The sequence below is a fragment of the Homo sapiens genome, chromosome 13 (assembly GCF_000001405.40).
Source record: "Homo sapiens chromosome 13, GRCh38.p14 Primary Assembly".
NCBI classification, from domain to species: Eukaryota; Metazoa; Chordata; class Mammalia; order Primates; family Hominidae; genus Homo; species Homo sapiens.
Genome location: NC_000013.11, coordinates 112,403,462 through 112,417,836, shown reverse-complemented (window position 1 = coordinate 112,417,836; position 14,375 = coordinate 112,403,462). Strand labels below are relative to the sequence as shown.

Genomic DNA, 14,375 nt, shown 5'->3' with positions numbered 1-14,375 from the left:
CTCCATGCAACATTTATTGATCAGCAATGGCAGGTTGAGATAAAACAGTGAGAAAAGTGAGCTAGAAAAAGCCTAATATTGATCTGAAAACACTATCAGAATAAGCAACTCCACTGTAAGACTGAAAATACTAAATATGGGTCCTGGGTAGATCAGAGAAAGGGCTACAGAGAAAGAACTTAAAAAGCACATGTGAATTTTATGTGTCAGTCTTCAAAATATATAACACCTGGGAAAGAGAAAAGACAAAAAATAAGGAGTAGGCTCCTTTTAGAAATTGAATGACAAAGGACAAAAGTAGCAAAAGGGGAACATGTATGGTCCTGTAAGATTAAAAAGAACCAAAAATATCAGAGGATACACTTATTTTTCTTATATCAAAGCAATCAAAATATTCACTAAAGGATCAGTATTTTTCAATACTGATATAACTTAAATGGAAATGTAATAAAAGGTAGAAAAGTAAGTCAGAAAAACAAGAAAATGTAATGAGATAAAGAAATAAGTAAAAAACATCAATGAGGAAATAATAAGAAAATATAATACAGGCAGGCAAAGAAGAAATAACATCTGTATAATTGGTGTAATTGAAGAAAACAACAGCAGCATTAACTATGGAATAGAATGAATATTTGAAGTTATAATTAAGATAACTTTATAGAAAAATAATAGGTGAGTCTAATTTTGAAAGGATCCATTTTGTATCTGGGAAAACTAATACCAAGATGTATCCCAGTAAAACCATTAGATTTCAAAGATAAAACAACCAAAAAAGCAAGGCAACAATGAAGCAGCGTTCTCTATCAACTTAATGAAAAAAAAAAGTATAAATCAAGGATTTTATATCCATCTAAGTGTGCATCAAACATCAACTTAAACATACAAGAGTCTAAAGATTTGTGTGTCCATAGCACATTCTTCAGTAATCTGCTACAGGATGAGCTTCATCAAACCAAAAGATAACTGGACAACTTCAACAAGAACAGTGATGGTGAAGGTGGATACACACACACACACACACACACACACACAACTCATAATCATATATGTAAATGACTGAAACATAGGTGAGACTGGAAAACTAATATGCAAATGCTATATGTATTGACAAAATAGAGGTGATAAAACTAAACTATGGGAGGTGATAAGGGAGATGAAGAGGAAAATAGAAACTCATTGATGTTGATGCCTAATTGAAATTAGGCAATGATTGATAGTTCAAGTACACCATTAAAAACTGACAAAGCAGGGGCTGGGCATGGTGGCTCACACCTGTAATCCCAGCACTTTGAGAGGCCAAGGTGGGTGGATCCCTTGATGTCAGGAGTTTGAGACCAGCCTGGCCAACATGGTGAAACCCATTCTCTACTAAAAACACAAAAATTAGCCAGGCATGGTGGCAGGTGCCTATAATCCCAGCTACTTGGGAGGCTGAGGCAGGGGAATCTCCTGAACCCAGGAGGTATAGGTTGCAGTAAGCTGAGATCATGCCACTGCACTCCAGCCCAGGTGACAGTGACAGTCTGTAACAACAACAACAACAACAAACAACAACAACAACAACTGACAATCCAGAAAGTGGAGCAAGATAGCTAAATATTACCCTCCAGTGATTGACCCCTGTAGGAACATAAAATTGAACAACTATGCATTCAAGAAGTCACCTTCACAAGAACTGGAAAATCAGATGAGTGATCATAGTACCTAGTTTTAGCATAATAACAGGAAAAGACACATTGAAGAAGGTAGGAAGGACAGTGTAGTATTGCCTACACCACCCTGCCCCAACACCAAGCAGCACAGTGCAGAGAGAGAATCTGTGTGCTTCAGAGAGGGAGGGAAGTGAGTGTGGGACCTTGCATTGGAGCTCAATGCTGGCCTCACCACAGTGGAACACAGCACCTGGCAGAATTCCGTGGTCCTTGATTCCAGGCCAGTGCCCACAGAGGGAGCATTTAGACCCACCCCAGGCCAGAGGAGAATCGCTGCCCTGCAGGATGAACCTGAGTCCTGCCCTGCTTCACTGCTGATTACCTAAAGTGGCCATAGGTCCCAAATAAATTTCAGTGTCAGCAGGGCTATAGTGACCACAGTCCTTGGGTGAACCCTGTGGTGCTGCACTGGTCTGGGAGGCAGAAGGCTTGGGATGCAACCCAATTTAACACCAGATGCAGGGGCCATAGAAGTGCCCACATCACAACTCTCTCAACTCCAGGCACTGTAGCTTAGAGTGAGACTCCTTCTGGGGAGAAGGAGAGAAAAGAGTACAGGGGCCTTTGCATTGGAACCTAGCACAAACCCTGCCACAGCAAAACCACACTGGGAAGAACCCTGAAGCTCCTGATTCCAGGCTATTACTTCCAGACAACATTTCTAGGCCGACCCCAGGCTGGAAGACCATAATACCAGCTTGGTATGATGGTCCTGAGTCCTGGCTGGCTTCACCACTGGCTGACTAAAGTGACCGTGAGCCTCGAATAAACATCAATGGCAGTTAGGCAGTAGCAGCTGCAGACCTTGGATGAGCTCTGGTACTGTGCTTGTCTGGGCAGCTGTGGGACTTTGGGTGAGACCCAGCATTGGTGCCAGCTGTGGCGGCCATGAGAGTGCCGGTATCACTCCTCTTCCAACTCCAGGCAGCTCAGTGTGGAGAGAGATTCCGTCTGCTATGGGGAAACAGAGGGAAGTGAGTGAGGGACTTTGGGAGCCCAGAGGATTCTCCCTGATTTTCCCCAACTGCATCAGAGCTGGGTATCTAGGAGGTTGCAAGAGATTTGCAGTGTAACTGGACTTAGGATGCTCTGTAGTGCAAAAGTGGCTGCAGTGACCACAGGCTTAGGGAACTCAACAGTCAGTCAGTCTCCTTTGAATCAATGAAAGGTCCTCTGAAGGATGGGTAGAAACAAAGCCCATGTGATGACTGGAATAAATATCTAACTTTCAATGCCCAGGCACCAGTGAACATTCAGAAGCATTAAGAACATTCAGAAAAATATGACTCCGTCAAATAGATGAAATAAGGCACCATTAGCCAACCCTAGAGATACGAAGATGTGTGACTTTAAGACTGAGAATTCTACAAAAATATAGCTATTTTGAGGAAAACTTCAATAAGACACAGAAAAGGTTGGGCACGGTGGCTCACACCTGTAATCCCAGCACTTTGGGAAGCCAAGAACGGGCAGATCACTTGACGTCAGGAGTTCGAGACCAGCCTGGCCAACATGGTGAAACCCCATTTCCACTAAAAATACAAAAATTATCTGGGCATGGTGGCATGTGCCTGTAATCCCAGATACTTGGGAGGCTGAGGCAGGAGAACTGCTTGAATCTGGGAGGCAGAGGTTGCAGTGAGCTGAGATCACGCCATTGCACTACAGCCTGAGTGACAGAATGAGACCACATCTCAAAAAAAAAAAAAAAAAAAAAAAAAAAAAAAAAAAAAAAAGACACAGAAAAGCCATTCAGAAACTTATCAGATTAATTTAATGAAAGATTGAAATAATAACAATAATAACAATAATAAATCCTGGGGCTGAAAAACATAATTAAAAACTGAAAAATTAATCAGAGTGTCTCAACAGCAGAATTGATCAGGCAGGAGAATCAGGCTTGAATACAGGCTGATATAGTTTGAATGTTTGTCCCTTCCAAATCTCATGTTGAAATGTGATCCCCAGTGTTGGACGTGGGGCCTTCTGGGAGGTGTTTGGGTCATGAGGGTGGATCCCTCATAAACAGCTTGGTGCCTTCCCCTCAGTAATGAGTTCTTGATCTTTTGGTTCACACAGGAGCTGGTTGTTCAAGAGCATGGAACTCCTCCCATCACTCCCTCTTGCTCCCTCTCTGATCACACAACACACTGGTTCCCCTTGCCTTCTGCCATGAGGAAAAGTTCCCTGAGGCCCCAACCAGAGGCAGATGCTGGCACCATGCTTCCTGTACAGCCTGCATAACTGTGAGCCAAATAAACCTCTTTTCTTTATAAATTACCCAGCCTCAGGTATCCCATTATGGCAACACAAAAGGGACTAATACTTAGGCCATTTAAAAATATACAGTCAGAGGGGAAAATAAAAAGCAATGCAGAACACTTATGAAATCAAGAAAGGGCAAATCTATGGAGTCATGGCCTTAAGGAGTAGAGAAAAATATAGGAGTAGAAAGTTTATTCAAAGAAGTAATTACAGAGACCTTTCCAAACCTAGAGAAATATAGGAATACTGAGGTACAAGAAGATCAAAGATCACCAGGAATATTCAACCCAAGTAAAACTACCCCAATTTATCGAATAATCAAGCTCTCAAATGTAAAGGACAAAGAAAGGATTATAAAAGAAGCAAGATAAAATAATCAAATAATATCTAAAGAAGCTCTGATACATCTGGCAGCAGACTTCTCAGTGGAAACTTTATAGGCCAGGAGGGAGTTGGATGACATATTTAAAGTGCTAAAGGAAAAAAAAAAACAACTCTTCCAACCAAGAATGCTCTACTCAGCAAAGCTATCCTTCAAACCTGAAAAAGAAATACTTTCCCAGACAAACAAAAGCCGAGAGAATTCACATCCACCAGACCTGTCTTACAAGAAAGGCTGAAAAGAAGTCTTCAATCTGAAAGAAAAGGGTGCTAATGTGCAACAAGCAATTATCTGAAGGTATGAAACTCAATGGTAAAAGTCAGCAGACAGGAAAATTCAGAGCACTCTAACACTGCAATTGTGGTGTGCAAACCACTCATATCTTTAGTATAAAGATGAAAAGGCAAATCTATTAAAAAATAATAATTTTAAAGAGATAGGCAATATAAAAAGACAAATTGAGGCAACAAAACGTGAAAATGCAGGAGGAAATGAGTTAAAGTGTAGGGATTTTTAGTTTGTTCTTTGCTTGTTTATTTTCTTTTCTTTGTGATCAAAGTTAATTTGTTATCAGTTTAAAATAACTTGTTATAGGATGTGTTTTTTAGGTTTCCTGGTAACCACAAAGCAAAAATCTGTAATAAATACACTGAAAACCAACACATAGACCAAGGAGACAGAATAGGGAATCTAGAAATAAATCTATGCATTTACAGCCAATTCATTTTCAACAAAGGCACTAAGAACATACATTTGAAAAAGGATAGTCTCCTTTATAAATGGTTCTGGGAAAACTGGACATTCATATGCAGAAGAATGAAACTTGACCCCTATCTCTCACCCATATACAAAAATCAACTCAAAATGGGTTAAAGACTTAAATGTAAGACCTGAAACTATGAAAACATTAGAAGTAAACATTAGAAAAACACTTTAGAACATCTGTCTGGGCAAATATTTTTTGAGTAAGACCTTAAAAGCACAGGCAACAAAAGCAAAAATAGACAATTAGGATTATATCAAGCTAAAAAGCTCCTACACAACTAATGAAACAATCAATAAGGTGAAGAGACAAAGAATGGGAGAAAATATTTGCAAACTATCCATCTGACAAGAAATCAATTACCAGAATATCAGAATATATAAGGAACTCAAACAACTCTGTAGCAAAACAAAAAACAAAAAACAAAAAAACTAATTTAAAAATGGGCAAAAGATCTGAACTGACATTCTCAAAAGAAGCCATACAAGTGGCCAACAGGTATGTGAAAAGCATTAATCACCAGGGAAATGCAAATCAAAACCACAATGAGATATCATCTCATCCCAGTTAAAATAACTTTTCAAAAACACAGGAAATGTCAGATGCTGGCAAGGATGGGGAAAAAGGGGGAATCCTTGTACATTGTTGGTGGGAGTGTAAACTAGTTCAGCCACTATGGAAAACAGTATAGAGGTTCCTCAAACAACAACTAAAAACAGAACTACCATATGATCTAGGAAGCCCACTGATGTGATGGGTATATGTCTAAAAGAAAGCAAATCAGTACATCAAAGAAATCTCTACACTCCCATGGCCATTGCAGTTCTATTTACAATAGACCAAACGTGGTATCAACGTAAGTGTCCATCAGTGGATAAACGAATAAAGAAAATATGGCACACATACACATGGAATACTAATGGAATACTATTCAGTCATAAAAAACCAAAATCCTGTCAATTGCAGCAACACAGGTGGAACTGAAGGACATTAGGTCAAGTGAAAGGCACAGAGAGCCTAATATCACATGCTCTCACTCATATGTTGGAGCTAAAAAAAATGATCTCATGGAGGTAGAGAGTGCAATGGTGGTTACCAGAGGCTGGGAAGGTAAAAGGGGAGAAGGAAATAGAGAGAGATTGGTTAATGGGAACAAAAATACAGTTAGATAGAAGGAATAAGTTCTAGCATTTGGCAGCACGGTAGGGTGATTACAGTTAACAATATGTTATTGTATATTTCAAAAGTACTAGAAGAGAAGATGTGGAATGTTCTCAACCCAAAGAAATGATAAATGATTGAGGTGGTGGACATCTCAGTTACCCAGATTTGATCATTACACATTGTATGCATATAGCAAAATGTTAAATGTGTCCTGTAAATATGTGCAACTATTATATATGAATTAAAAACTGAAAAACCAGATAGTAAGTGGTGTAATAAGAAAAAAAGGGAATTAGGGACATTTAAAAAGTTGTAAGTACAAAGGTGTTTAGTAGAACAAAAATATAAACTTTCTTAAATACCCCAATTTTTTTTTTTATAATTTAAAGAACAGGAATATTTACTTCCTAAAAAAAACATAGCAAATGTAACACAATCTACATAATTTTATGATATTTTGACAGGGTTGTGATGAATTACCAGTCACATTGATAATGTAAATGAGCTTAACTCATCCATTAATTATTTTTTTCAGTTTTCCTGAGAAAGTAAGATCCAAGTATATGCTGTATACTTAAGTGATGTTGAGTGGTTAAAAATAAAGAAATGGACGGACAACATTTTGCTTATCCATGTATTCGTCAGTGGACACTGGATTGCTTCTATGTTTTTGCTATTGTGAATAATGCTATGAACACAGGGGTATAAATGCCTCTTCAAAACCCTGCTTTCAGTTATTTTGGGTGTATACCCAGAAGTGTAATTGCTGGGTCATACAGTAATTCTATTTTTTATTTTTTGAGGCACCACCATACTGTCTTCTGCAGTGGCTGCACCATTTTACATTCCCATCAACAGTGCACAAGAATTCCAATTTCTCTACATCCTCCCCAGTACTCACTATTTTTTTAATAGTCTGAATTGGACTACTCAGGTGCGTCATATAAGTGGAATCACACAGTATTTGTCCTTCTGTGATTGATTTATTTCACTTAGCATAATATCTGCAAGGGTCATCACTGTTTTACTATGTGTCAGAATTTTATTTCTTTTTAAGGCCAAGTAATTTGCAAATTATATATCTGATTAGAGATTAATATTCAGAATATATAAAAACTCCTAAAACCCAACAACAAACAACTTTTATAATTTAAACAACAAGGAATATATATATATATTTTTTTAATTGTACTTTAAGTTCTAGGGTACATGTGCACAATATGCAGGTTTGTTACATATGTACACATGCATCATGTTGGTGTGCTGCACCCATTAACTCATCATTTACATTAGGTATATCTCCTAATGCTATCCCTCCCCCATCCCCGCACCCCATCACAGGCCCCAGCATCTGATATTTCCCTTCCTGTGTCCAAGTGTTCTCATTGTTCAATTCCCACCTATGAGTGAGAACATGTGGTGTTTGGTTTTTTGTCCTTGCGATAGTTTGATGAGAATGATGGTTTCCAGTTTCATCCATGTCCCTACAAAGGACATGAACTCATCCTTTTTTATGGCTGCATAGTATTCCATGGTGTATATGTGCCACATTTTCTTAATCCAGTCTATCATTGATGGACATTTGGGTTGGTTCCAAGTCTTTGCTATTGTGAATAGTGCCACAATAAACATACGTGTGCATGCATCTTTATAGCAGCATGATTTACAATCCTTTGGGTATATACCCACTAATGGGATGGCTGGGTCAAATGGTATTTCTAGTTCTACTTCCTTGAGGAATCGCCACACTGACTTCCACAATGGTTGAACTAGTTTACAGTCCCAACAACAGTGTAAAAGTGTTCCTATTTCTCCACATCCTCTCCAGCACCTGTTGTTTCCTTACTTTTTAATGATCACTATTCTAACTGGTGTGAGATGGTATCTTATTGTGGTTTTGATTTGCATTTCTCTGATGGCCAGTGATGATGAGCATTTTTTCATGTTTTTGTTGGCTGCATAAATGTCTTCTTTTGAGAAGTGTCTGTTCATATCCTTCACCCACTTTTTGATGGGGTTGTTTGTTTTTTTCTTGTAAATTTGTTTGAGTTCTTTGTAGATTCTGGATATTAGCCCTTTGTCAGATGAGTAGATTGCAAAAATTTTCTCCCATTCTGCAGGTTGCCTGTTCATTCTGATGGTAGTTTCTTTTGCTGTGCAGAAGCTCTTTAGTTTAATTAGATCCCATTTGTCAATTTTGGCTTTTGTTGCCATTGCTTTTGGTGTTTTAGACCTGAAGTCCTTGCCCATGCCTATGTCCTGAATGGTATTGCCTAGGTTTTCTTCTAGGGTTTTTATGATTTTAGGTCTAACATTTAAGTCTTTAATCCATCTTGAATTAATTTTTGTATAAGGTATAAGGAGGGGATCCAGTTTCAGCTTTCTACATATGGCTAGTCAGTTTTCCCAGCACCATTTATTAAATAGGGAATCCTTTCCCCATTCCTTGTTTTTGTCAGGTTTGTCAAAGATCAGATGGTTGTAGATGTGTGGTATTATTTCTGAGGGCTCTGTTCTGTTCCATTGGTCTATATCTTTGTTTTGGTACCAGTATCATGCTGTTTTGGTTACTGTAGCCTTGTAGTATAGTTTGAAGTCAGGTAGCATGATGCCTCCAGCTTTGTTTTTTTGGCTTAGGATTGTCTTGGCAATGTAGGCCCTTTTTTGGTTCCATATGAACTTTAAAGTAGTTTTTTCCAATTCTGTGAAAAAAGTCATTGGTAGCTTGATGGGGGTGGCATTGAATCTATAAATTACCTTGGGCAGTATGGCCATTTTCATGATATCTATTCTTCCTATCCATGGGCATGGAATGCTCTTCCATTTGTTTGTGTCCTATTTTGTTGAGCAGTGGTTTGTTGTTCTCCTTGAAGAGGTCCTTCACATCCCTTGTAAGTTGGATTCCTAGGTATTTTATTCTCTTTGAAGCAATTGTGAATGGGAGTTCACTCATGATTTGGCTCTCTGTTTGTCTGTTATTGGTGTATAAGAATGCTTGTGATTTTCGCACATTGATTTTGTATCCTGAGATTTTGCTGAAGTTGCTTATCAGCTTAAGGAGATTTTGGGCTGAGACGATAGGGTTTTCTAAATATACAATCATGTCATCTGCAAACAGGGACAATTTGACTTCCTCTTTTCCTAATCAAATACACCTTATTTCTTTCTCCTGCCTGATTGCCCTGGCTGGAATTTCCAACACTATGTTGAATAGGAGTGGTGAGAGAGGGTATCCCTGTCTTGTGCCAGTTTTCAAAGGGAATGCTTCCAGTTTTTGCCCATTCAGTATGATATTGGCTGTGGGTTTGTCATAAATAGTTCTTATTATTTTGAGATACGTCCCATCAATACCTAATTTATTGAGAGTTTTTAGCATGAAAGGCTGTTGAATTTTGTTGAAGGCCTTTTCTGCATCTATTGAGATAATCATGTGGTTTTTTCTTTGGTTCTGTTTATATGCTCGACTACGTTTATTTATTTGCGTACTTTGAACCAGCCTTGCATCCCAGGGATAAAGCCCAGTTGATCATGGTGGATAAGCTTTTTGATGTGCTGCTGGATTCGGTTTGCCAGTGTGTTATTGAGGATTTTTGCATCAATGTTCATCAGGGATATTGGTCTAAAATTCCCTTTTTTTGTTGTGTCTCTGTCAGCCTTTGGTATCAGGATGATGCTGGCCTCATAAAAATGAGTTAGGGAGGATTCCCTCTTTTTCTATTGATTGGAATAGTTTCAGAAGGAATGGTACCAGCTCCTCCTTGTACCTCTGGTAGAATTCGGCTGTGAATCCGTCTGGTCCTGGACTTTTTTTGTTTGGTAGGCTATTAATTATTGCCTCAATTTCAGAGCCTGTTATTGGTGTATTCAGGGATTCAACTTCTTCCTGGTTTAGTCTTGGGAGGGTGTACGTGTCCAGGAATTTATCCATTTCTTCTAGATTTTCTAGTTTATTTGCGTAGAGGTGTTTAGAGTATTCTCTGACGGTAGTTTGTATTTCTTTGGTATCGGTGGTGATATCCCCTTTACCATTTTTTGTTGCGTCTGTTTGATTCTTCTCTCTTTTCTTCTTTATCAGTCTTGCTAGAGGTCTATCAATTCTGTTGATCTTTTCAAAAAACCAGCTCCTGGATTCACTGATTTTTTGAAGTGTTTTTTGTGTCTCCATCTCTTTCAGTTCTGCTCTGATCTTAGTTATTTCTTGCCTTCTGCTAGCTTTTGAATGTGTTTGCTCTTGCTTCTCTAGTTCTTTTCATTGTGATGTTAGGGTGTCAATTTTAGATATTTCCTGCTTTCTCTTGTGGGCATTTAGTGCTATAAATTTCCCTCTACATACTGCTTTAAATGTGTCCCAGAAATTCTGGTATGTTGTGTCTTTGTTCTCATTGGTTTCAAAGAATATCTTTATTTCTGCCTTCATTTTGTTATGTACCCAGTAGTCATTCAGGAGCAGGTTATTCAGTTTCCATGTAGTTGAGTGGTTTTGAGTGAGTTTCTTAATCCTGAGTTCTAGTTTGATTGCACTGTGGTCTGAGAGACAGTTTGTTATAATTTCTATTCTTTTACATTTGCTGAGGAGTGCTTTACTTCCAACTATGTGGTCAATTTTGGAATAAGTGTGATGTGGTGCTGAGAAGAATGTATATTCTGTTGATTTGGGGTGGAGAGTTCTGTAGATGTCTATTAGGTCCTCTTGGTGAAGAGCTGAGTTCAATTCCTGGATATCCTAAGAACAAGGAATATTTATCTCCTGAAGAAACATAGCGAATGTAACACAATCCACATAATTTTATAATATTTTGATAGAGTTGTGATGAATTATCAGTCACATCCATAATGTAAATGGGCTTAACTCATCCATTAATGTTACCCATCCTAATGATTGTGAGGTAATATCTCATTGTAGTGTTGATTTATATTTCCCTAATAATTGGTGATAATGAACATCTTTTCATGGACTTATTGGCCATGTATATCTTCTTGGAAAAAAATCTCTATTCAAGTCCCTTGCTAATTTTTAGATAGAGTTATTTGTTGTTGGGTTTTAGGAGTTTTTAAAATACATTCTCAATATTAATCTCTATCAGATATGTAATTTCCAAATTACTTGGCCTTAAAAAGAGAGAAAATTCTGACACATGCTAAGACAGGGATGAACCTTGAAGACATTATGCTAAGTGAAATAAACCAATCACAGAAGGACAAATACCGTGTGATTCCACTTATATGAGGCACCTGACTAGTCAAATTCATAGAAACAGAAAGTAGAATGGTGGCTGCCAGAGCCTGGAGGGAGGCAGAAAGGGGAGTTATTCCTTAATGGTACAGAGTTTCAATTTGGGGTGATAGAAATAATTCTGGAGACACATGGTGGTGATGGTTAGACAGCATTATGAATATGTTTAACATCATGGAACTGTACAGTTAAAAATGGTTACCATGGCAAATTATGTTGTGGGTATTTTAGCACAATTTTAAAAATTGAAGAAAAAAGCAAATGAATAAAAATAAAAGTTTAAATGGTAAACTAAAAAATAAAGAATGGACAAAATATATCTTATTATTTAATATGAAAGCAGAGAGATAGTGGTCCTTATGGCAGAGAAAGAAATATCCAATCCTCAAAACATTAACATGACAAAGAAAGTATCTTTTCGATGCTAAAAGTTGGAATTCACAACGAAGATATAATATTCATAAAAATCTATGCACCAAATAACACAGGAATCACACTCATAAAGCAAAAACTACAGAAAATGCAAGGAGACACAGAAAAATATTTATAATAGAGAATTTTTACACTATTCTTAACAAAAGACAGGTTGAATAGGTGTAAAATGTAAGAGGAGACTTAAACAACATAATCAAAAGGTTGTTGTTATTAACACACACCAGATTCCAGTTAAATCTTGACACTGGAGAATACACCTGTTTCTCAAGTGCTTATGGAACATTCACAAAAATTGAATATATTTATGAAACCATGAGCAAATTTTGTAAAGTAAAACTATTACAAACAGTACTTTCTGATCACAGGGCAATAAAACTAGAAATTATTATGAAAAACAAAGACAAAATGCCCTGTTACCTGGGAATTGGAAAACTTTTGGTTAAAAGGGAAATACAAGCTAAAATGATAAATTTCTGGAAAATAATAATGAAAACACTATACATGAGAATCTGTGAAATACATTTAAAGAAACACAGCACTAAACACTTATTGGTAAAAGGAAAAAAATAAAAGAATTACTGAGGTCTAAAACTAGAAAAAGAGCAAGAAAGTGAACTATAAGAGAAAATAAAGAAGGTAATATTAGTGACAAAGGCAGAAATTAATGAGGTAAAGAAGAAAATACATCCTGGCTAACACGGTGAAACCCCGTCTCTACTAAAAATACAAAAAATTAGCTGGGCATGTTGGCGGATGCCTGTAGTCCCAGCTGCTCTGGAGGCTGAGGCGGGAGAATGGCGTGAACCCGGGAGGCGGAGCTTGCAGTGAGCCGAGATAGCGCCACTGCACTCCTGCCTGGGCGACACAGCGAGACTGTCTTAAAAAAAAAAAAAAAAAAAAAAAAGAAGAGAATACAATGGAGCTAATTAGTATATCAAAACACTGGATTTTGTCTTAAAATTTATATGGAATGAAAAAAGAGCTTGCATAGCCAAAGCAAGACTAAGCAAGAAGAACAAATCTGGAGGCATCACATTATCTGACTTTAAACTATACTATAAGGCTATAGTCACCCAAACAGAATGGTACTAGTATAAAAATAGGCACATAGACCAAAAGAACAGAATAGAGAACCCAGAAATAAAGCCAAGTCCTTACAGCCAACTGATCTTCAACAAAGCAAACAAAAAACATAAAGTGGAGAAAGGACACCCTATTCAACAAATGGTGCTGGTATAATTGACAAGCCACATGTAGAAGAATGAAACTGGATCCTTGTCTCTCAGCTTATACAAAAATCAACTCAAGATGGATAAAGGACTTAAATTTAAGACCTGAAACCATACCAATTCTAGAAGATAACATTGGAAAAAAACCTTCTAGACATTTGCTTAGGCAAAGACTTCATGAGCAAGAACCCAAATGCAAATACAACAAAAACAAAGATAGATGGGACTTAATGAAATGAAAAAGCTTCTGCACAGCAAGAGAAATAATCAGCAGAGTGAACAGACAATCCACAGAGTGGGAGAAAATCTTCACAATCTATACATTTGATAAAGGACTAATATCCAGAATCTACAATGAAAAAATCAGCAAGAAAAAACAAACAATCCCATCAAAAAGTGGGCTGAGGACATGAATAGACAATTCTCAAAAGAATATATACAAATGGCCAACGAACAGTTGAAAAAATGCTGAACATCACTAATGATCAGGGAAATACAAATCAAAACCACAATGCTATACCACCTCACTCCTGCAAGAGTGGCCATAATCAAAAAATCAAAAAATAATAGATGGTGATGTGGATGTGGTAAAAAGGGAATGCTTCTCCACTGCTGGTGGGAATGTAAAGTGGTACAACCACTATGGAAAACAGTGTGGAGATTCCTTAAAGAACTAAAAGTAGAACTACCATGTGATCCAGCAATCCTACTACTGCATATCTACCCAGAGGAAAAGAAGTTATTATATGAAAAAGACACTTGCACATACATGCTTATCACAGCACAATTTGCAATTGCAAAAATATGGAATCAGCCCAAATGCCCATAAATCAATGAGTGGATAAAGAAATTGTGGTATATATATGCTATGGAATACTACTCAGGTATAAAAAGAAATGAAATAATGGCATTCATAGCAACCTGGATGGAACTGGAGACCATTATTCTAAGTGCAGTAACTCAGTAATGGAAAACCAAACATCGTATGTTCTCACTCATAAGTGGGAGCTAAGCTATGAGGATGGAAAGGCATAAGAATGACACAATGGACTTTGGGAACTTGGGGGAAAGTGTGGGAGGGGAGTTAGGGATAAAAGACTACAAATTGGGTACAGTGTGTACTGTTCGGATGATGGGTGCGCCAAAATCTAAGAAATCACCCCTAAAGAACTTATTCATGTAACCAAACACC

General features: G+C 37.6%; 1 protein-coding gene and 1 long non-coding RNA gene across 12 annotated transcripts in view; one reads left to right on the top strand and one right to left on the bottom strand.

Annotated features, from left to right (window-relative positions):
- SPACA7 (sperm acrosome associated 7) overlaps positions 1-14,375 on the bottom strand; it is a 58,335-nt gene that overhangs the window by 16,853 nt on the left and 27,107 nt on the right. For 7 of the 9 annotated variants that reach the window (XM_011537468.3, XM_017020392.2, XM_011537471.3 and 4 more), the window contains one exon: positions 2,517-2,666. The exons of the other annotated variants lie outside the window; for them this stretch is intronic. In XM_011537468.3, coding sequence (XP_011535770.1) covers positions 2,517-2,666 — 150 coding nt within the window. The remainder of the gene's footprint in view (positions 1-2,516; positions 2,667-14,375) is intronic. 9 annotated transcript variants of the gene reach the window in all.
- LOC105370372 (uncharacterized) overlaps positions 1-14,375 on the top strand; it is a 97,399-nt gene that overhangs the window by 58,300 nt on the left and 24,724 nt on the right. The window lies entirely within an intron of this gene.